Raw genomic sequence first — 23505 nt, forward strand, 5'->3', positions numbered from 1 at the left:
CGCCTCCCGGATTCATGCCATTCTCCTGCCTCAGCCTCCCAAGTAGCTGGGACTACAGGTGCCCACCACCAAGCCTGGCTAATTTTTTTGTATTTTTAGTAGAGACGGGGTTTCACCATGTTAGCTAGGATGGTCTCGATCTCCTGACCTCGTGATCCGCTTGTCTTGGCCTCTCAAAGTGCTGGGATTACAGGCATGAGACACCGTGCCTGGCCTTTTTTTTTTTTTTTTTTTTTTTTTTAAAGACAGAGTCTTGCTGTGTTGCCCAGGAGTGGCACAATCTCAGCTCACTGCAACCTCTGCCTGCTAGGTTCAAGCGATTCTCCTGCCTCAGCCTCCCTAGTAGCTGGGATTACAGGTGCATGCCACCACACTCAGCTAATTTTTGTATAGCCTTAACCTTCTAATCATACCTAGGGAGCAAAAGCAGGAGGCATATTAAAAGGCACTGGGCTGGGCATCAGGAGCCCCAGCTTCCGTTTCCAGCTCAGTGACTGACTTGCTATGTGACCCTGGGAAAGCCCCTTTCACACTCTGAGCCCCAGAAACCACATCCATAAAAATGGGGAGAACATTATTATTGCCTCGTATGCATTTTATGTGGCCCAAGTGGCACAGGCTATGGAAAGGAGTTCTGGAGTGCACCAGGATTTCTCTAGATGGAAGGCATATTGGTGTTGTTTTTGACCTTTTAGAGATTACAGATGATTGTTACAATAGGGGCACCCAATCTGAATGATCAGATGTAGTGACCTGGTTATCTGAATACCTGACAGTTTACCAGCGACACTCATGTATGCATATAGACACAAACATAAAACAGGAAACACATGGATGTTATAAGTCACAAGAGTCATCCATACAAACACAAAGATATGTGTATCCACAACTGGCCCACACGGGCACATGGAGGCCCACAGGCATACATGTATGCACACACAGAAAAACACAGGTGCATGTGTACACACATGTTCACATGGACACACATGTTCATAGACCCTCACGCTCCCAGAGCCCACATTCAGTGAGCACACGGATGCACACAGATGGGCCCAGTTGCCGCACACACACTCATGAACAGGCAAAGGCATACCCTTGAACATGAAGAACTGGAATACAAAGAGATTTTACCTGGAGAAGCTGTGAGCCCAAGGCAGAGGGAGGAAGGGTATATCCTGCTGAAGGTGAGCAGGTCCAGGACTCCCTGGAAGAGGGGCTTAAGGAAGGGTTAGAGCATCGGAGGCAGAGGGGCTAGGGGCTGGCAGAGCCGGGGAAGCCACCCACAGATGGTACCCTCTTCAGGGAGTAGGATCTGAGGGATTCCTAGGGCAGGCGGGCCTTGGTTGTAGGCCCTGGAGGTAGAACTGAAGACTTCCGTGCAGTTCTGCTCATGGAGTCACCAGCCAGCCACTCCCAGAAAGTAGAGGGGAGGGGCAAGAGATGACTGTAGCCTGGGGCTGGTGGCCCGGGCTAGGCCTCACCGGCTGCCGCTGGAATGAAAAACTCAGTTTTAGCTTCTATGTCGGGATTTGCCAGTGGGTTCATTTCCTGGGTGCAGATTGGTTGAGGGAGACCTTCCTTTATCGATTCCCCTTTACGGTAAAAATGACCTGCAAATGAAGTCAATCTTCCAATCATACGCCAGGACAGAAAGAAGCTGCGAGTATAGACAAGAGCACTGGACTGGGTGTCAAGAGCCAGCACGTGGGGGTGTAAGGTTTGGCTACAGGCTGAGATGAGAAAGCATCTTAAGAGCCAGAAGGTCCAATTCAGACTCTTGGCAGTACGGGAAAGTGCGGCCCAAAGCTGGGATGGCGACCAGCTCTTTGGTCATAGCAGCTCTGTCCACCTAAGATAATCTCAGAGGAAGGCCAGGATATCTCAAGGTCTCATCGTCGGTTGGGCGCCGTGGCTCACGCCTGTAATCCCAGCACTTTGGGAGGCTGAGGCGGGCGGATCACGAGGTCAGGAGATCGAGACCATCCTGGCTAATATGATGAAACCCCGTCTGTACTAAAAATACAAAAAATTAGCCAGGCGTGGTGGTGGGCGCCTGTAGTCCCAGCTACTCGGGAGGCTGAGGCAGGAGAATGGCGTGAACCCGGGAGGTGGAGCTTGCAGTGAGCCAAGATCGCGCCACGGCACTCCAGCCTGGGCGACAGAGCGAGACTCCGTCTCAAAAAAAAAAAAAAAAAAAAAAAAAAAAAGATCTCATCGTCAAGGCTAGTTCCAGACCTTCTCATCAGCTCCTGCAGAATCACCCTCCTGGTCCTCTCCCCCAAGTGAACCCCATGGAGTTGGACCCGTCATTCCCTGAAAAGGCTCCACGGCTGAGACTGAGCCTGGGTCCATTAGCATTCAGCTCAGCAGCTGGGCAGGAAGGAGAACAGTATCAGGGTGGCAGGAAGAAAAGCAGGGCTGGAAGAAAAGGGATAAGGATGAGGAGGAGGTAGAGGGGGTGCAGGTGCTCTTCCAAGCTGTTTGCCCATGGGCTCAGAGGGGCTAAATAATTCACTCATTTTTATCCAGTTAGTGAGAAGCAGGGCCAGGGATTTGAACCCAGGTGTATGTAAGACTCTCAGGAGAGTAGAGATCATTCTACATGGGAAGAGCTGGAAATCTTCCAGGGGAAAAGACTTGCGGAGTTAGTCTGACTGGATTCCATCAGCCCAGTCCTGGCAAGGTGTGCTACAGAGGGGATCTCCGCTCAGAGACTTCTCTGAGCCTGAGTTAGGTGAGGGGAAATGAGGCCCAGAGTTCCAAGAAGGGGACTGGCCTTGAGCTGGGCACACAGACCTGCATGGGACAAGCTCCTTACATGGTGGGTCAGAAGCTGGGGACTCAGGAAAGTGAGAATGTCACAGTGCACAGAGTGTGGAGCAGGGGCAGGCTAATGCAGAGTTCCTTCAATTCCACACTGCAGAAGAAGCTTCCCTGAGAACGCACCATTGCTGGGCTCCTTATATGCCTCACCTCTGACCTTCTCTCTGGAATCTCGCACCATCGCCCTTAAGGCAGCTGTCTTCATCCTCATTCTGCAGATGAGGAAACAGGTTTAGAGAAGTTAAATTCACTTGTCCTTAGTGAACCAGAGTCCAGATTCTCATGGTCCAGTCCAGGGTGCCTTCTCCTGCTGATCACGGCAGGCTTTTATTCCCCGGAGCCTTTGTTAATGGGCTTCCCTGGGCCTGTGACTGCCAAGGCCTGGCAACTTTGACATGTTTTCGTGGGGTTTCCTCTGTGCTGGTCTCTGGATTTTCCAAGTTTCTCATTTGCAGGTCCAGGGGAAGGAGGGTTGCTCCATCTCAGGCCCTAGGAGGTGGTGCTTTGGCAAAGGGGCAAGAGACCCGTGATCTGGCCCCAGCTCTCCCTCAGTCAAGCTATATGACCTTGGAAGAGTCATTTCTCATCTCTGCTCAAGATAATGTCATGCTGTAGATTGAAGGTTTGCCCTGGGAGACCTCTCAGCCATCTCTCATCCTGGACCATCCATCCATCCATTCACCTTCCATCCAACCATTCATCCATCCTCCAATGATCCATGCATCCATCCATCCATCCATCCATCCATTCATCCATCCATCCATCGATTTTCCATCCATTCATCCATCCATTCATCCATCCATCCATCCATCTTCCATCCATTCATCCATCCATTCATCCATCCATCTTCCATCCATTCATCCATCCATCCACCCATCCACCCACTCAGCCAGTCATCTATTCAACTTTTCATCCACCCATCATGCATCCATCTGTCTCTCCATTAATCCTATCAAACCCTGGGTTGAAAAAATAGCATAAATCTGGCCCTTTATAGGACAAAAGGGCCAGAGAGCAATTACTTTATGTTTTCCAGGACACATGGTCTCTGTTGGAACTATTCAACTATGCCTTTGTAGCACAAAAACAGCCAGATAAGAGGTAAACAAATGGGTGTGGCTGCATCCCAATGAAACTTTATTTGCAAAAGCAGGGGACAGGCTGGATTTTGCCCCTGGACTATAGTTTGTGGCCCTTTGCCCTGGATAATTGCTGGGTGCTAGAGACACAGATACAGACACAGTCTAATAGGGGAGGCTTGCATGTGGACCAAAAATGATAGTGCAGTGTGAAAAGTAGAGATGGCTTAAAGGGTGCACAAGGCACAGAAGGAACCCAGAAGGGGACCTGGGGGCCTTAAGTGATTAGGCCGGTGTCAGTGGTTGAAACCTAATCAGGGTTTCGGTGGATGAGGGAAGAGCTCTCCAGGCAGATGGAACAGCATGAGCGAAAACACAGAGGCATGGTAGTACCTGTTGTGTTGGCAAAGACTGTGAGATTTGATGGCTGGAGAATGCAGCAGAAATGAGATCAAGGAGGATTTTAATTACTGTGCTAAGAAGCACGAACTTTTAAGCAAATAATTCTCAGTTATTTAACTCCTCTTCAATGACTAACATTTTTCTTGGAAAGAGTCCACTCCATAACTGCTAATCTCAGTGAGGGGTATTGGATATGCAATTTCTTCTAATTATGTGGAAATACTGGTTGTTTCTTCTCTGTGGGTGCTGAGGCCCTGGGGGCAGTGATGGATGCCTAGGCGGTAGGCAGAGGGGCCTAGGAACTGAGCATGGCTGATTTGCACCACAGTAGAGCCCTGGGCTCTGATTTCACACTCTGCCCCAGGCCAGAGCGATTCTGCCTGTGTCATCATTATGCTCATCAAGAGATGCTTTGTCTTCCCCTGATCAGCCTAATTGCTCCCCTCATTTGGACAGCCCTGGAGTCATTTAGTAATGAAAATCACCGCGTGCTAATATGGCATCAGGAGCTCACCTGCTTCTTGGCATTTGGAGCAGTGTGGAGAGGGGAAGAGGCTCTGCTTGTCATTACAGGTGCAGAGCCTCGCTGAGCTGCTCATGTGCAATTACCGTCCAACAGCCTGGAAATTACAGTCCAGTTACAGTGCCTGCTAACAAGGACTAATTGTACCACAACAGAGCTTCCCTGGACACTTAAAACAAATGGCCACTGTGGGAACTTGGCGATGAATAGAGAAAAATCCCATCTATTCTTGGAACACAGGACAAATATGCTAGGAGTTGGGCAGGGCTCAGCTGGGGGCTCTTGGGCATTAAAACTTGGTTTCCCAATCAATGTAACCAAGCTAGAATTTGATGCAGACATCCATTCATCCATCCGTCTTTTATCCACCCATCCATCCTCCAGTGATCCATCTATCTGTTCATCCACTCATCCATCTTCCATCCATCCACCCATCCATGTATCCATTCATTCATCAATCCATCCATATTCCATCTACCCATCTATCCATCCTCCAATGATCCGTCCATTCACCTTCCACCCAACCATTCATCCAACCTCCAGTGATCCATCCATTCATCCATCTGTCCATCCATCCATCTTCCATCCATCCATCCATTCATCTTCCATCCAACCATTCATCCACCTCCAATGATCCATCCATCCATCCTCCAATGATCCATCCATCCATCCTCCAATGATCCATCCATCCATCCATCCATCCACCCACTCAGCCAGTCATCTATTCAGCTTTTCTTTCTTTTCTTTTCTTTTTTTTTTTTTTTGAGATGGAGTTTCACTCTTGTTGCCCAGGCTGGAGTGCAATGGCACTATCTCCACTCACCACAACCTCCACCTCCCCGGTTCAAGCGATTCTCCTACCTCAGCCTCCCAAGTAGCTGGGACTACAGGCATGCACCACCACACCCATCATGCATTCATCTGTCTCTCTATTCATCCCACAAACTTCCCCCAAACTCTTGCTTAGAAAAAGGTCTATCCTTGATGCTGCAAGTCAGAAATGTATTAGGAGAAATCCTGCATACAAGAAGATGTAATAGGTACTTAAATATTTTTGAACAAGTGAACAAAAGCAGTCAACATTTTCTCAATGGAAGGGAAAAATAGATTTAGTTAAGTGAGAGGGTGAAGAGGGGGGCATAGATGGTGTGAGAATAGAGAAGATATAAAGAGTTGTTCATCACCGTCATACACATAGCTTAAGTGAAAGACAGGAAAGTAAAAGGGAAGGGGATGTGTGTGTGCTCTGTGTTTAAGTGTGGCAAGTTACTTCATTTCTCTTAGTCTCAATTTCCTTTCCCAGACAATGGGGATAAAAATGCTTCCTACCTCATGGGGTTATTATATGGACTACAAAAAATACTGCACATAAAGTTCCTAGAACAATGCCTGGTATGTAGTAAGCAGGCGCTGCCATTCTGCTGCCTACTCCTGGGGACTTGAAGGTTGAGTTAGAGTCCACCCTACCTAGACAGTAAGAAAGACCATCCTAGGAATTGGCAACGTGTAGATGATTGTAACACAGGGGAGGCTTTGGGGGGAGTGTTAATTTTTGCATCTTGTGACTAGAGCCCAGGGAGTGAGGGGCAGTGATGGGGGGAAAAAGCAGGTCAGAGGCCCCATCAGTCCAGAAAGAGCTGAGGATTGGGATTTGCAATGGGGGAGATGGGGAGCCATCAACACATTTTAAGCAAGCAATTTGTTTTTCAAAATTATTACTGTAGGGTGGGAAATTGATTATTGTTCATTAATTATTGCTTTAAGAGGAGATGATTGTGCAAGGAAAACAAATGAGTCCTGGTCATTCAAGGGCAGAGTCTAGATGAGAACTGCTCTAGCGCTCATTCCTGGTTCTAGCTGCCCTGAACTCTGGCCTCTAGGCTCCCTGTTCATTGTTTTCTGGCCTGTAGCTAAGGGGGTATGGAAAGAATGTTAGAGTTATGAGTTCCCCTGCCCTGACAGGATCTGTGTAGGGTCCGTACATCTCCATGTTCTTCCCCTCAATGCATCCCTACTCACGGAACCCTGCTAAGTGGTCATTTCAACTCTCCTCTATACAGCTCTCCTCTATACTACTTCCTGAGCCAGCCTGCTTCTTCTTTGGCCATCTCTGACCCAAAGTCCTTTATCCTATGAAATGTCAACCCATCTCCCCATGGATTCTAATTATTCACTCTCGTTCTGCTCCTGAGTCACTGGGCAGGATAGGTCTCAATGGCAGCCCATGCACCTGACTCATTCTGGGGCTGAGACCCAGGCTCAGTTTGTGGTCAGTGCTCATTGTGGCCACACGGGTGCTTTGGCTGCAGTGGGGCTCATGGTGGAGCATTTCCCAGGAGGGGTGATGGTGGACTGACCCCTCCAGGGTGCCCTGCCTCCTGGGGATCATGCTTTGGTGTAGTCCCTTCCACATGGGCTTTGGGTTTGGCCATGTGATTTGCTTTTTTTTTTGAGATGGAGTCTCACTCTGTCACCCAGGCTGGAGTGCAATGGCACGGTCTCGGCTCACTGCAACCTCTTCCTCCCAGGTTCAAGTGATTCTTCTGCCTCAGCCTCCCGAGTAACTGGAATTACAGGGCCCCCCCCACCACGCCTGGCTAATTATTTGTATTTTTAGTAGAGACGGGGTTTCACTATGTTGGCCAGGCTGGTCTCGAACTCCTGACCTCATGATCTGCCTGCCTCGGCCTCCAAAAAGTGCTGGGATTACAGGCGTGAGCCACAGCACCCAGCCATGACTTGCTTTAACCAACAGAATGTGTTGGAAGCGATGCTATGTCGGCTCAAGACTTAACTTCAGAAGGCCCCTTCCACTTTCACACTCCTTGAAGCCAGCCTCTGTGTGGAGAAGCTTGAGTTGGACTATTGGCAGGAGAGCCATGGGGAGAAAAGCCACCGGGATGGAGGCTGAGAAATCATCTGGGATACCCAAACCTCAATGGAGCTCTGCTGAGTGCAGCCACTCGAGTGACCTCTGCGAAATCATGTGGAGCAGAACTGCCCAGTGGAGCCCACATGCCCTTAGAATCCTGAGAAATAATACATCATGGTCGCTTTTCCACCATCGCGTGTTGGGATGGTTTGAAGGCAGTAATAGAGAACTTCTACTTGGACTCTGAGCAAGTACTTCCTGTCCACTCCTAGCACAAAGAAAGGTGCCAGCTATAGCCATTGAGTCTGAGTTTCAAGCCAGACTTGTGGCACTCACTCCTACATGGTCCTAGGCATGTCCTACTTGGGACTCAGTTTCTCCATCTGTAAAGTGGAGAGATTGTAAATTCCATGATCTTATCTCTTTTAGCTGTTCTTTGATGAAGCTGAAGGACTCTAGATGAAGCATGACCCCCCACTCTGAGCAGGGGCTCCTTCTGCAGGTGTGTGTCAGCTTAGGGGATGTTTCTCATGCCCATAGCCTCACTGACAGCAGAATAACCTAGGGCCAGTCTTTCTGGCTGATCCACTTGGAATCACACACTTCCATTCCAGGTTGTGCCAAACTCAACCTGATGTTCCTTGTGGTCCCTGGAACGGGGCTGCCTGCTGGGGTGTTGACTAACTGGGCGTGTCAAACTTGGGACCCTCTTCCTCTGTTTCCTTGTTCCTCATTAGGTTCCTCATTGGCTACAAATGATTCACTTAGAAGGCAATGGGAACTGGCAGTGATGTTTGGAGCATTTCTTCCTTGATCAATTAACGGCCTTCTCCCTATTTTATTTATGTATTATTATTATTTTTAGATGGAGTCTCATTCTGTTGCCCAGGCTGGAGTGCAGTGGTGCGATCTCGGCTCACTGTAACCTCCGCCTCCTGTATTCAAATAATTCTCCTGCCTCAGCCTCCTGAGTAGCTGGGATTACAGGCGCATGCCACCACGTCCGGCTAATTTTTTTGTATTTTAGTAGAGATGGGGTTTCACCCTGTTGCCCAGTCTGGTCGTGAACTCCTGAGATCAGGCAATCCGCCTGCCTTGGCCACCCAAAGTGCTGGGATTACAGGCGTAAGCCACTGAGCCTGGCCCTCCCTATATTATTATGATATCAGCAAAAATAAAATTATGAGGTTTATGCAAATCATATTTGTATGATCACGTCTGAGAGCCTTTGGATCAAATTTTCTAGCCAATTTCTCTAAATGCGAGCTTTTAAACTTTTCCTTTATTGTTGACAGAAGATGCTTTTAGAGATTGCACTGTGTCAACTTCAGAGACAACCAGAAGGTTGGGAGGGAAGGAAAAGGCACCCTGTAAGGGATGACGGAGGGGCTGGGACTCAAACTGGAGAAGAGAGGTGAGGCCCAGGCTCCATGTGCGGAATTCATCCGGGCTCTCTCTGGGTCAAGGAAGCAGGTGTCACTGGTTGACACAAACAACTGGCAAACAGAGGCCAACACGGTCAGGCAGAACTTTCTAGAAGTCTGAAGTGTCCAGAGAGGGAGCAGGCTGCCTTTGGAGGGTGTGTGACCCCAAGAGAAGAGGACTCTGAGATTCAGGGAGGGGCAGCATCTTCCCAAGATCACCCAGCTGGTCAGTTGAAGTTCTGGGACCAATGGCTAGAACTGGAAGCTGACACAGTCCCAGAGCCCGAGAAAGGGACAGAGATGCGTCTGTTCCAGCCAGCAGTTGCCCTTCCCACTCGAAGCCTTCAGTGTTGGGCAAGGTGGTGGTCAAGACTCCCTTTCCCTCAATGGTGAGAGGACATGGCCAGGGTTTCAGTGGAAGCCTTTCTTGACTGCTGAGAATCTGATGAACCTCTTCAATATTTATTTTTCCGATAGAACTGAACAATTCTGAAGAGACACAATATTACATTTCTTAGAAGCTTCCCCAATTGCATAGTTATCAGGGAAACCTGAATAAACTAACAAGAGCTTAGACCTATTTATTTTTGTATTCAGTCATCTCTGAGGTGTGGGTTATGCCAGTGTGAACAAGAAGAGACAGTAATTAGATTGTGCTTAGACTGATTCTCCTGCTCCAGGAATGGGAATAGGGCCGGGCTGCCCCAGCTCTGTGGTCTTCCATGCTCATGGTGCTGGTCCTTCAAGTTTATACCTCTGGGATCATTGGTTTCCAAACATGGCTGCATGTGGAATCATCTGGGAAGTTTTTTTTTTTTTTTTTTTTTTTTTAAACTGATGCCTGTATTCCACCTGCCGAGGTTCTGATTTAATTTATCTGGGAACAGCATTGGCATTGGGACTTTTACAAGCTCCCTAGGTGATCCGCTGTGCAGCAGAGATTGAGAATTCTTAATTTAGACTTTGAACCTGCTGGGGCAAGCTACGTTCATGGGTCATCCTTCCTCCTTCCCTAGGTTTTTTTTTTTTTTTTTTTTTTTTTGAGACGGAGTCTCACACTGTCACCCAGGCTGGAGTGCAGTGGCACAGTCTCGGCTCACTGCAAAGTCTGCCTCCCAGGTTCAAGCGATTCTCCTGCCTCAGCCTCCCGAGTGGCTGGGCTTACAGGTACCTGCCACCACGCCTGGCTAATTTTTGTATTTTTAGTAGAGACAGGATTTCACTATGTTGGCCAGGCTGGTCCCTAACTCCTGACCTCGTGATCCGCCCACCTCAGCCTCCCAAAGTGCTGGAACTGTAGGCGCACGCCACCACGCCCAGGAGAATCGCTTGAACCCGGGAGGCAGAGGTTGCAGTGAGCCAAGATCGTGCCACTGCACTCCAACCTGGTGACAGAGCGAGACTCCGTCTCAAAAAAAAAAAAAAGAGAAATAGTTGGGTTGTCTTCAGTCAAATACATTGATAAGCCATAATGACTGGTTGTTTCTTAAATCACATGTTGTTTGAATTTAACTGGGCTAACTTGCCCCCCTCAAATAGGTTTGCATGCTTAGAACTGGGCCCACTCTGACATGGGACAAAAATTGCTGGTGTGTGAACATTCCCATTCTCATTCCCTTCCGCCTCTAAATGAAAATAATTTATTCTTTGCCTGTTCAGTTCCCCAGCAACCCTTTCCAGCCTTCTAGACGGGGTTCCACCTTTGCCAGCTCAGACCCTCAGCTTTTATAATGCAGAGCTGGATAGAAAGGCTGGGGACTGAGGAAGGGCGGTCAGGAGATTTGCATTGGAAAGAAGAGAGCTGTTCCGAGAGAAAAGATTAAAAGGGAAGAGAAAGAGGGTGGGGAGGAAAGAAAATAGGGAAAATTTTAAATTGGGACTGAGGGTGGAGAAAAGGAAAAGATATTTGAGGAATGTCTGCCAGATGTGTGTGTATTGAGAGTGGCAAAAGGAGAAGAAATATTTATATTTTGCTATGCATTGAGAATGTACCCTGTCCTCCCTATATACACGGGCACAATTTCCCTGTAGAGGCTTCCCCAGAGGTGTACATAAATTACAATTGCTTTCAGCTATATTTTGCTGTCAGACTACAGATTCCTTGAATTGATCCTGCACAGGGACTGGTCCATTTGGGCCTCCAGTTATATTTGGAATATGCTGATAAGCCAGGGTTGTGTGGAAATGGCAGCAGGTGTGAGCTGGGAAACCCTTCACCACCTGGTGGAGGCATTTCACAGACTCATGAGCTCTCAGAGTGGGAAGAGATCTTAAAAATGGGGGCCTTCAAAATGGTCTAATGTGCCCGGGCGCGGTGGCTCACGCCTGTAATACCAGCATTTTGGGAGGCCAAGGCAGGTGGATCACCTGATGTCAGGAGTTTGAGACCAGCCTGGCCGACATAGTGAAACCCTGTCTCTACTGAAAAATACGAAAATTAGCTGGGTGTGGTGGTACGTGCCTGTAGTCCCAGCTACTCAGGAGGCTGAGGCAGGAGAATCGCTTGAACCCGGGAGGCAGAGGTTGCAGTGAACTGAGATGTCACCACTGCACTCCAGACTGGGCAACAGAGTGAGACTCTGTCTCAAAAATTTAAAAAAGTCTAATTCCCCCTCCCATTTTGAAATTGATTTTCTAGAGCCCCCCGACCAAGTTCATTCTCTGCTTAAAGACTTCCTATGAAAGGGAATGCATGACTTTCAGAGAAAACTCACTACAACCGTGTATAGACCTAGCAGTTAGAAGTCTGTCTGTGTTCTCAAATGCTATTATCGGTGATGTGAATTATCACAGCCTCATTGAACTTCGCTCTGGCGAGTCCTGGCACAGTTTAAATTATTCTTCTCCTTCGAATCAGCAATTCTGCTTCTAGGAAGTCTGCGTCACTCACACACATACACAAAGATGCATGTCCACGGATGTTTAGATTGAAGCATTACTTGAGAGAGTGAAAATGTGAAGCCAGTTCAATGTATATCTACAGAGGATTGCCAGTAAAACCACAGTAGATATCAGTTGTGGAATAATGGATATGCCTGTCCTAATATGGAAAGATTTCCAAGATATAGTAAGGGAAGAAGTAAGTTGCAAATGATAAGTTAGGAAAGAGTGTGTTAAGACCCCACAGACTTCATACCTATACCTGCATATGAATTAAAGATATGAAGACATATAGAAAAACAACGTAATAAAATTGATAATAATCAGTCAAATCAAAACCGCAAGATACCACTGTGCATCGATCAGAATGGCTATTACTTAAAACACGGCAAATCACAGGTGTTGGTGAGGATGTGGAGAAATCATTCATGGCTGGTAGAAATGCTACATGGTGCTTTGGAAAAGCCACTTTGGAAAATTGGCAGTCCCTCAAAATGTTAAACATGGAGTCACTGCGTGACCCAGCAATTCCACTCCTAGGTATGTTCTCAGGCAACATAAAAACTACATCTAGCAACATGTTTGACGATAGCCAAAAAGTGGAAGCAACTCAAATGTCCATCAGTTGATGGGTCTGTGAATAAAACAGTTCCATCTATAAAGGGGAATATTATTCGGCGATAAAAAGGATTAAAATACTGATGCATGCTACCACATGGATGAACTTTGAAAACATTATCCTAAGTCAAAGAAGCCAGTCACAAAAGATCACATATTGTATAATTCTGTTTATTTATTTATTTATTTTTGAGACGGAGTCTCACTCTGTCGCCCGGGCTGGAGTGTGGTGGTGCAATCTCGGCTCACTGCAAGCTCCGCCTCCTGGGTTCACGCCATTCTCCTGCCTCAGCCTCCCGAGTAGCTGGGACTACAGGCGCCCACCACCACGCCCGGCTAATTTTTTGTATTTTTAGTAGAGATGGGGTTTCACCGTGTTAGCCAGGATGGTCTCGATCTCCTGACCTCGTGATCCACCCGCCTCGGCCTCCCAAAGTGCTGGGATTACAGGCTGAGCCACCTCGCCCGGCCTGTATAATTCGTTTATATGAAAAGTCCAGGATGTGCACTTCTGTAGAGACAGGAATTAGATTAGGGTTGCTTAGGGCTAGAGGAGAGAGGGGTCTGAGAGTGAGGCTGATGGGCATGGGTTTTTTCTCTAGGGTGATGAAAACATTCGATAGCCTGTAATGATGGTTGCATAATTCTGTGAATATACTGAAAACCACTGACCTGTGTGCGCATTAAATGGATGGACCGTATGGCTGTCTGTGAAATATATCTCCATAAACTGTTTTTTAAAAAATGCTAATTGTGTTTGCATTTTGTGTGTGGGGGGTGGAGTGTTGCGTTAGGAGGGAGGAGTGAAGGACTTGCCTTGTCCTGGTGATTTGTTTCAGGTGACAAAGCATGATGACGATTCATAGGCATTCCAGGGAGGCATTTGAGGCAGAGGGCTGCTGGCTACCCAGCCACACAGCTTTGACAAAGCCACACATCGAGTCTCTACCTTCTTTGCCTCTGGGGCCAGTGGCTGTCCCTCCATGGGCAATCAGTGGCCCAGGGGTGGCAGTGCTTATGCAGGGTGACTCATACCACTTTTCCTGGGCGCCTTTCCTGACTGGTGGTTTCTCCTGGGCTCTCATAAGCCCTCGGGTGACTCAGGGCAGAGAATGAGCTCTTTGGCCTGCCCACTTCTGGGGATCCCTCGTGCCAGGGAGGACTGTGAGAAGGGGAGGCTGCCGGGCTCAGCAGGGATTCAGCTGACAGAAAGAAGACTGTCAGAGAAGATGCTAAGTCTGCCTGGATGACAGAGCCGACCCCAGAGAGGCTGGATTGACGTCCCCCCCCCCCACCTTACTGCAAACAGAGGCAGAGACTGGAGCCAAGGTTGAGTGAGGCAGGGCCAATGGCCAAAAGGGGTCAGCACACCTGGGGCCTTCAGTTGGCAGGAGCCCTGTGCAAATCTCCACAGCCCTCCACCCACAGGAACCCAGGCCCACCCAGGCTCATCGGCCTGACACAGAACGGCAGAACGCATAGCACAGCACCCTAGCACGTGGCACCCAGAAAACACACTTGACGTGCACTCGATACAAGCAAAGCACAAAGATACCACAGGGCACACCCAAAGCCACAACACCTGTCACCCAGGCACTTGCATCACACAACAAATGCACATAGACCGCAGAGACACAGAAGCACATGTACAAATAGAACGGCGCCCTCCCCCTTGCCAAGACATCACATGGCACAAGAAACAAATGGACCAACACAAGGGAAGGTCCCTGACAGTTTGTCCATTGGCCCTCAGAGGCCGATCTGGAGCAGCTGAGACACCCTTTTCAATCCCCCAGTCTGGCTTGGGTGCCTTCCTCTCTGTCACCTCTCTCTGTCCCTCCTCTTCTTGCAACAAGTCCACTAGGCCTCTCTAGCACATGGTAGAGAATGTGCTACCACCACACCAGGACTGTTGGCTAACTTGTTTGCTTTCCTCTCTTTCCTATCCATTGGATATAAGGTTCTTTTTTTTGTTTGTTTGTTTTTTGAGACAGAGTCTCAGAGTGCAGTGGAGCCATCTTGGGTCACTGCACCCTCCGCCTCCCAGGTTCAACCAATTCTCCTGTCTCAGCCTCCCAAGTAGCTGGGACTACAGAAACAAGCCACCATGCCTGGTGAATTTTTGTATTTTTGGTAGAGATGGGGTTTCACTATATTGGTCAGGCTGGCTCAGACTCCTTTACCTCAGGTGATCGATCCACTCGGCCTCCCAAAATGCTGGGATTACAGGCGTGAGTCACCGCGCCCAGCCACATATAAGGTTCTTGAAGGTAGAGTCTGTGTTCTATGTATCTCTGAGTCTCTGGCACTTTGCAGTGTCTGGGGTATAGGACAGGGTTAGTGTATAACGAATGAATAAATGGATCAAGCTATCCAAATGTGTGTATATTTACAAAAGGAAATGTTCAACCTTCATCACTATCAAAGAAATGCAAATTAAAATGAGATGCAATTTTACACCTATTAAATTAACACAAATTAAGAAATATAATTATGACACCCAGGACTAACACAGTCATGGTCTAGGCATGGCACCCATACATTGCCGGTGGCAGTGTGTAAATTGGGTGCAGCCCCTTTGGAAAACAGTTTGATTGTATGTATCAAGAGTCATTAAAAGGCTGACAGCCTTTGGTGCAGTGATCGCACCCCTAGGAATTTATCCAAAGGTAATTACCAAAAACAAGAAGGACATTTGCTGATGGTCGTTGGAAGTGTCATTTGCCATCACACAAGGCCTTGATTTCAGAACCCAAAATTGGGATACACATTCTGACGCATTGAACTTGAGGATAGCTGGGAAGAATAGCTGCAGAGAACTGGGAACAGGGGCTGACCATGACTGAATTGGGGACGGCAAAGATAGGGAAGTACATTTCCTGACGTCAGGGCTCTGGCAGGCATTGTTCACTCCTGTATCCTCGGCTCCTAGTGGAGTATCTGGTACACAGTAGGGTTAAGTGATATATACCTTAATATATTTAATCATGATATATGTTTTTATTTATTTAGCTAGCACAGATATACATACACTCTGAATAGGATGCTCTGTGGCCATTAAAGTTCATTAATATGCAAACGTGTTTAAGATACAATGTTGTAAAGAATTGATATTTCTTATTCTGCATAAAAAGGATTTATGTGAAGGGAAACGGAGGTGAAGAGAGGTCAAGCGACTTGCTCATGCCACACAGCCCTGAGTGGGGCAACCCTGGCCCAAACCCCAGTCTGTTGGACTTAACCACTGGTCTTTGCTGTCTTCAGAACACCCTGAGTTATTCTACTCTGAGGGCCTGAGCTCTAAGGGTCCTGGGTCCTGAAGTCCTGAGGTCCTGAGGTCCTGAGTTCTGAGATCCTGAGGTCTTGAGGTCTTGAGATCCTGAGGTCTTGCGGTCCTGGATCCTGAGATCTTGAGGTCCTGAGGTACTGGGTCCTGAGATCCTGAGGTCCTGAGGTCCTGGGTCCTGAGGTCCTGAGATCCTGAAGTCCTGGGTCCTGAGATCCTGAGGTCTTGAGGTCCTGGGTCCTCAGGCCCTGAGTTCTTGAAGTTCTGAGGTCCTGAGGTCTTGAGGTCCCAAAGTCCTGAGATCTTGAGGTCCTGGGTCCTGGATCCTGAGGTTCTGAAGTCCTGTGTTCTGAGGGTCCCATGGCCTGAGGTCCTGAGATCCTGAGATCCTTAGATCCTGTGGTCATGGGTCCTGAGTCCTGAGGTGAAAAGCACTGTTGGGGTGTCTGCTGGAGAAGAGATATTTTCCCATGAGAGTTCCCTTCCTTTGCGAATCCTTAATAATCCGAGCTCCTTTGTAGACATAAACACACTAGCCTTTCTTAATGATGTATGCATTTCATTGTGATGGGTAAGGTACAGATTTACTTTTGAAAGGTGAATAAATTTGCTTTTTGTTTTTTCAAGTATGCATTTTCTCAGAGAAAAGATGCTAAAAGGTTGACTACAATTTTGCAAGCGTCCAAGGGATTTTTTGTTGGTACAATAAAATCCTCACGGTGAAAATGTAGAGAATGCAGATTGAGTGCACTGAACCCAAGGGTGCAGGGGCTGGGGTTACAAGGAGGGAGCAGGAATGTCCCAAGGGGACCCTTCCATGCAGGGTGAGATACTGGGGTCCCGGTCCTGGGACCAGAGAGCTTCTCCTGGCTGACTGTCCCTCTTGCCTGGAGTCCCGCAGGTGCTGGTGGGGAGAGTTGGAAAGGCACTCCCATTAGACCTGATTTTCTGTTTTCTGCTTCTGTCAGTGTCTCTGAGGGAGACTTACCTAGGGCTAGTGGGGCTTTGGACTTAAGAGAGTTTTGCTTCTGATTTGGGAAGAAAGCAGGACTCTCCCTTCTCCCTAAGCCCACCTCATGACCACAGAGTCTCATAGAGTTGTGGAGGAGAGGGTCCTGGGCACGCTGACTCCTGATACTGGGAGATGTGAGTCATGCCCCACCTCGCTTGAATCAATGTCTTTTTTTAGAATTTAAAATATTAAAAAAACTTGGAAATAATTTTAGATTTACAACAAGGTTTCAAAAATAGTACTGAGTCCCTTTGTACCTTTACCCAGCTTCTCCAAGTGTTATCGTCTTCCATACTCACAGTATCATGATCACGACCAGGAATTTAGCATCGATATGATAATCTAACTAATCTGTTCATATTTTGCCAATTGCCTACATTGTGTTTCGTTGTCAAAGTTTCTTGTTTCCTTCAGTCTGAGATAGTCCTCAGTCTATCTTTTATGGTTTGGAAACTTTTGAAGAATACTGGCCATCTGTTCGGCAGGCTGTCTCCTCACTGTGGTTTGCCTGATGTTTGCTCACGATTACATTGAGGATTGCCTTTTTGCAAGAATCCTGCAGAAGTGATGCTGTGTCCTCAGTATAGCCTATCAGGAGACACGCAAAGTCAGTTCATCTTGGTTAAAGTGGTGTCCGCCTGGTTTTTACACTCGTCTCTACTCTCTCTTTTTTTCCTTTGAGACAGGGTTTTGCTCTGTTGCCCAGGCTGGGGTGCAGTGGCACAATTACCATCACCACGTGCTTTAGCCTTGACCTTTCAGACTCAAGTGATCCTCCCACCTCAGCCTCCCAAGCAGCTGAGATTACAGGAACATGCCACCATGCCTGGCTAATTTTTTATTTTTTGTAGAGACGGGGTAACCCTAGGTTGCTTGAGCTTGTCTTGAACTCCTGGGCTCAAGTGATTCTCCCAGCTCAGTCTCACAAAATGCTGGGATTACAGGTGTGAGCCACCTCACCCGGCCTCTTCCTTTCTTTACCTGTGTAATCCCTCTTCACTGGCTGGGCGCGCAGTGGCTCACGCCTGTAATCTCAGTACTTTGGGAGGCTGAGGCAGGTGGATCACCAGGTCAGGAGTTCAAGACCAGCCTGGCCAAGATAGTGAAACCCCGTCTCTACTAAAAATACAAAAATTAGCTGGGCATGGTGGTGGGCACCTGTAATCCCAGCTACTAGGGAGGCTGAGGCAGAGAATTACTTGAACCCGGGAGGCGGAGGTTGCAGTGAGCCGAGACCGTGTCACTGCACTCCAGCCTGGGCAACAAAGCGAGACTCTATTTCAAAACAAAAACAAAAACAAAAAAGACTTTCAGCTCCCCTTGTTTATCCTCACTTTATAGTGGGTGGCACAGAGTCTCAGAAAGGTGAGGAAAGCTGCCCAAGGTCACACAGCCAGGACATGGTCTGCTCCCAAGTCCATGTTTTTCCCTCGTTCTCCAAGATCAAGTCTTGCTCAAAGTCACTGAGAATTTCACTCTGCTGGGACACAAGCCCAAACTCCTGTGCCACCTCCCTGGAGAGTTGGGAACCAAGGAAATAATGAACATAAAATGTATATAGCGCTTTATAATTGACAAGACTGTCCATCTTTATGGCAGACACCTGAGTCAGGTGGCGCTATCTTCATTTCGTAGAAGATGAAGCTGAGGGTGAGGGAGTTTGTGTGTCCTGCTCAAAGTCTCAGCCTGTTTGTGGCAGACCTGCAATTTTAACCCATGTTGTTCCACTCCAACCCCAACCCTTGACTATGTAGATGCCTCCTTTTTCTCCACCTGGATAGGAGAGTGCTGGTTCCTGGGCAGGGTGAGGGGTGCTGAGCCCATGAGGGAGAGGATGCTCATCTCTTTTAGAATAACCAAGATCTCTCTGAGTATTACCTATATCCACAGGCGGTGTCTTACAGGTGATTTGCATGCTTCATAAAAACATAATTTATAGGAATGATAAAATTTTATGTGATTTATAAGACCCGTTAAATGTATGAGGGACCCAGCGGGGCTCATGGATCCCTCTGCTGTCTCTGATTTGGCCAATCAGCAGTTGGCCCTTTAGGAAAGGCTGGCCTGAGTGTTGTCCTGGGCTTGGTGTGGCGGTCCCAGCCTCATGTTGATGAACCAGACAAAGTTCCAGGGATCTGGGGGAGGAAGGGAGACAAGAGGAGGACCCACAGAATCACAAGGCCAGGGTGTGTCTTAGTTGCGAACCCTGCAGCGTTGTAGAAGGCCTCCTGGAGGCAGTGGCACTGCCGAGAAATTGTGACATTGGACAGGATTTAAGCAGAGGAAGGTTGGAGTTGCGTGGCCGTCCCAGTGTTTGCAGGGGTGGGAATGGAGTGTGGGTCTCTAGATTGGGGAAAGGAAGGAAGGCTGGCGTTCTGACAGTTCTTCCTTCTCAGGGAATTGAAGCCTTAGGCAGGGCTGGTCAGAAGCTCAGTGCCTGCCTAGGACACAGAATTTGAAGACAGGAAGGAATCCGGAAATCCTTGTTATCTGTGGCTGGCATGTGCCATAAGACTTCCCCTCATCAGCACCGTAGCCCCCCATATCTGGTAGCAGGAGGAAGGGGATTCTGGTTGAGGAAGAGGGAAGCAGATTAGGCCTTGCGACTGCCTCCCGTGGCCCTGAGCATTGTGTTATGAGGAATGCTCCATTTGTAAAGGGAAGGGGGGTGCAGGTCTACACCCACAGAAGGTGGACTGGGGTCATATACCAGAATCTTTCTACAGGCAGATAATGGGACTAGCCCTCTCTCAGCCTTGCAGATAAAAGGTTATGGAATCTTTTGACAATAAAAGAGAGAGAGACAGAAGGTCAAGCACCCTGTGACTCTCCGGCGGAAGCAGGAAGAGACAAGGTCGTTGCCTTTCCAGCATGTTCTCTTGGTTTTCAGGCAAAATCTTTTAGGTCCACCCTACCTGTTCAGAAGCCTGAGCAGCAGGCTGGAGCCCTTTCTTCCTGTGTCCCCATATAGACACTCATTTGCGACACTGCTCCCCAGTATATGTCACAGACCCTCAAACCTACACGTCCATAATGAGCTCATCACCTTCACCTGAGCCTGCTCCTGTCCTGGGCTCTCAGCTCAGAGGTGACCTCGCTGGCCCCTAAGCCAGAAACAGAGGCATTTTTCTCTGTCTCCCTTGTCCCTCACCCCCATATTCAATCACCAAGCCCTGCCCTTTTGCCCCTCAAAAATCTCTGGAATTTCCCCACCCACTTTTCTATCCACCGTCACTAGCAAAGACATCATGTCTTACCTTGGCCCTTGCATGGCCTAACAGCCTCCCTGTGAGGCCATGGTCGCTCTACTAGACAATCCTTCACACTGCCCAGCAGCAATCTTTCCCACTCACATCTGGCCCCATGTCTCTCGCTTGCATAAAACTCTTCACTTGCTCCCTGGTCACCTATGGCATCAAGTCCTAGGCCTTGGGCCTGGCATTCAAGGCCTTTCAGACATGGCTCTGCTGCTTTTTGCAGTATATTCTCCAGCAGTCATCCCCAGTTGCCTGTTCTATGCCAATGTCACATGTATTTGCCTGAGAACCCCATGTTGTTTCGCTCCCTTTGGCTTTTCCAAATGTAATTGACTCTCCCTAGACATGACATCCCAATATGTCTCTCTGGAAAACTCCTATTCATCCTTCAAAACCAACTCTTGTGACACTGCCTCTCTGAAGTACGCCCTGACTTGCTTCACACCATTCTGCCCTCTCTACTGTCTGTGCATTAGCACGTGTTGTACCCCACTGTGATTATTTGTTTGCACATCCATTCCCATGGTAGTCTGTGACGTCCTTAAGGGCAGAGGCCAAATCTCTCTCTTTTCCTCTTTCCTCCCTTCCCTCCTTTCTGTCCTTCCTCTCCTCCTTCCTTCTCTCTTCTCCCCCCTTCTCTTTTTCTTCCTCCCCCTCCGCCAGTCTTAACCTTCCAGCCGTCAGCTCTTTCCTGAGTGCCAACCGACATGCCAGCTCTGCTCTAAAGTTTGCGCATTCTCACAGAGGTGTTGTCCTTGACAAGGCCCCACATCAATAAATTCCACGGTCCCCTTGGGATGTGAACTGTAACTAGGAGTCGTAGCCAGACAATCTCACAGAAGACGTGCCCTGAAGAAAGCAGAGTAGCGTATTGCACCTAGAGCAAGCGTCAGGTGGAGAGGGGTGGGGTGGAGGAGGTCTCTGCTGAAGAGGAGCCATTTGGGCCTGAACAACAAGAGGGATTTGGCTGTGCAAGGAGAGCAAGAGAGAGAACTGCTTGTTCAAAGGCCTTGCGGTGGGGATGAGCTTGGTGCATGGAAAGAGTAGGCTGGCGAGGCCCAAGAGAAGTGAGCAGGGGAGGTAGGCACAGCCTTGGGAGGTGAGGGCACAGGTCATTCCTAAATCCCTGCCTGTGTCTTGTAATCCCCCAGCTACATTGAGATCCCAGAACCAGAGCCACTAGCAATCTCACCCTAAGAGGAAGAGAAGGAGAGCCAGGCATGGCTGTCTGCAGTGTGCCTCTCACGGATACTTCTTTTACCTGGCGGACAGCCCAGCGCCTAGTTGTCTGACCCGTGATCAAGATGTCCTTCACACGGAAAACTTGTTTATTCTGACAAATGCCTTGGTGGTTGCTGTGTCCAGTGAATGCCTGCCTGACCATCGCTCGGAGCTGGGAGCTTGTGTTATCCACTGCGTCCCGGGGAAAACCTGCTGGGGCAGCCCCCGGTTCTTCCTTTCTTCTCTGCAACTGGGGTTCTCTGTGTTCAGGGATTACCCAAACCACGGCTTTCTTTGGAGACCAGTGATGGCAAAGCGTTCTCTTCTGCTCCTGCCAAGTCGCCCTCACTCAGCTCAAGGCCTCTGGCATTCCTTGGAGACTTCTGCTCACTGCTGTTGGAGGAAGATGCTGATTCAGGCCAGATTCCATCTTGGGGTGCGTGCCCTTGGTCTTCCTCTGCCCCACACGCTCCTTCCGCAGCTCTGTGCATGGTTGCTCCTGCCTGTCATTCAGGCTTTGGCTCAGACAGCACTTACTCAAGAGAACTTTTTTGGTAGACGCATAGCTTTTAAATTTTTTTTAAATTTTTTAATTTTTTAAACGTAGTATTTTGATTCAGGGGATACATGTGCATGTTCGTCACAGGGTATATTGTGTGATGCTGAGGTTTTGGCTTCTATTGATCCTGTCACCCAAAGAGTGAACATAGTCCCCAGCAGGAAATTTTTTAACCCTTGCCCCCATCCCTCCCTCTCCCCTTTTGGAGTCTCCTGTATCTGTTATTCCCATCTTTATGTCATGTGTACTCAATGTTTAGCTCCCAATTATAAGTGAGAATTTGTGGGATTTGGTTTTCTGTTTCTGTGTTAATTTGCTTAGGATAATGGCCTCCAGCTGCATCCATGTTGTTGCAAAGGACATGATTTCATTCTTTTTCATGGCTGCATAGTATTCCATCGTGTATATGTACCACATTTTCTTTATCCAGTCCACTGTCAATGGGCACCTGGGCTGATTCCACATCTTTGCTATTGTAATGAGTGCTGCAATGAATATCAGCATGCAGGTGAGGAGACCTTCTTGATTGCCTTTTCTTTTTCCTTCTTTTTTTTTTTTTGAGATGGAATCTCACTCTGTAGCCCAGGCTGAAGTGCAGTGGTACAATCTTGGCTCACTGCAACCTCCACCTCCTGAGTTCAAGTGATTCTCCTGACTCAGCCGCCCGAGTAGCTGGGATTATAGGCACACACCACCACGCCTGGCTAATTTTTGTATTTTTAGTAGAGATGGGGTTTCACTGTGTTGTCCAGGCTGGTCTTGAACTCCTGGCCTCAAGTGATCTGCCTGCCTCGGCTTCCCAAAGTGCTGGGATTACAGGCACCTGCCACCATGCCCAGCTAATTTTTGTATTTTTAGTAGAGATAGGATTTCACCATGTTGGCTAGGCTGGTCTTGAACTCCTGACCTCAAATGATCCTCCCACCTCAGCCATCCGAAGTGCTGGGATTACAGGTGTGGGCCTTTTCTGAGCGGTGCTCTCGATACTCTTTATCCCCTTGCCTTGTGTTATTTTCCTCCCTGACTCTTCCATCCATGCTTGGGGGATCCACCATTAAAATGCAGACTCCTTGAGGGCAGAGACGTGTCTCTTCCGTTTACCCCTATTACTTATCTCCAGCACCCAGAACAGTGTCCAGCGCATAGCAGTGATCCGTAAACATTTTCTGAGTGAATCTGATGTTTTCCTTTTTTTCCCCCTTTTTAGTGATTAATATGCATGGAATCCTCATCAAAGAGCAGATTGTGTCAAATCCACAGAGTGTGTGACTCTTGCATGGCTCAGAACTCATTATCTTCCAGCAGCAAGTTGAGAGATTCTTGGACAGAGATTTAAACAAACGCTCACGTTGCCGCTTTGACCCAGCTAACCTTCCGGCGAGTTCAGAGTCATAAACCATTATTGTCTCTGCAGGCGGGGAGTACTGCGGGCGCCTCTTGGCACCTGGTGCCTCCGTCTGAATTAGTAGCTCATTCTCTCCATCTGATGCTGGGCCAGGAATGAGAGAGTTTACACTTCCCTGTGTGAGCCTGCTCTTGGCATCTTTAA

At 48.3% G+C, this 23505-nt stretch overlaps 1 long non-coding RNA gene across 1 annotated transcript in view, besides 1 other annotated feature; it reads left to right on the forward strand.

The window, feature by feature from the left end:
* Window positions 1–22244, forward strand: part of LOC339166 (uncharacterized) — a 158463-nt gene extending 136219 nt beyond the window's left edge. The window contains exon 4 of the long non-coding RNA NR_040000.1: window positions 21328–22244. This is a non-coding gene — a long non-coding RNA (uncharacterized LOC339166). The remainder of the gene's footprint in view (window positions 1–21327) is intronic.
* Window positions 4358–5009: an enhancer, noted in NCBI's record as "NANOG hESC enhancer chr17:5816130-5816781 (GRCh37/hg19 assembly coordinates)". NCBI's record gives its function as "activates a minimal SCP1, AML or CMV promoter by ChIP-STARR-seq in naive H9 embryonic stem cells {active_cell/tissue: H9 hESC(naive)}" and the evidence as "EXISTENCE:reporter gene assay evidence [ECO:0000049][PMID:30033119]".
* Window positions 22245–23505: the final 1261 nt, after the last annotated feature.

The sequence above is a fragment of the Homo sapiens genome, chromosome 17 (genome assembly GCF_000001405.40).
Source record: "Homo sapiens chromosome 17, GRCh38.p14 Primary Assembly".
NCBI lineage: Eukaryota > Metazoa > Chordata > Mammalia > Primates > Hominidae > Homo > Homo sapiens.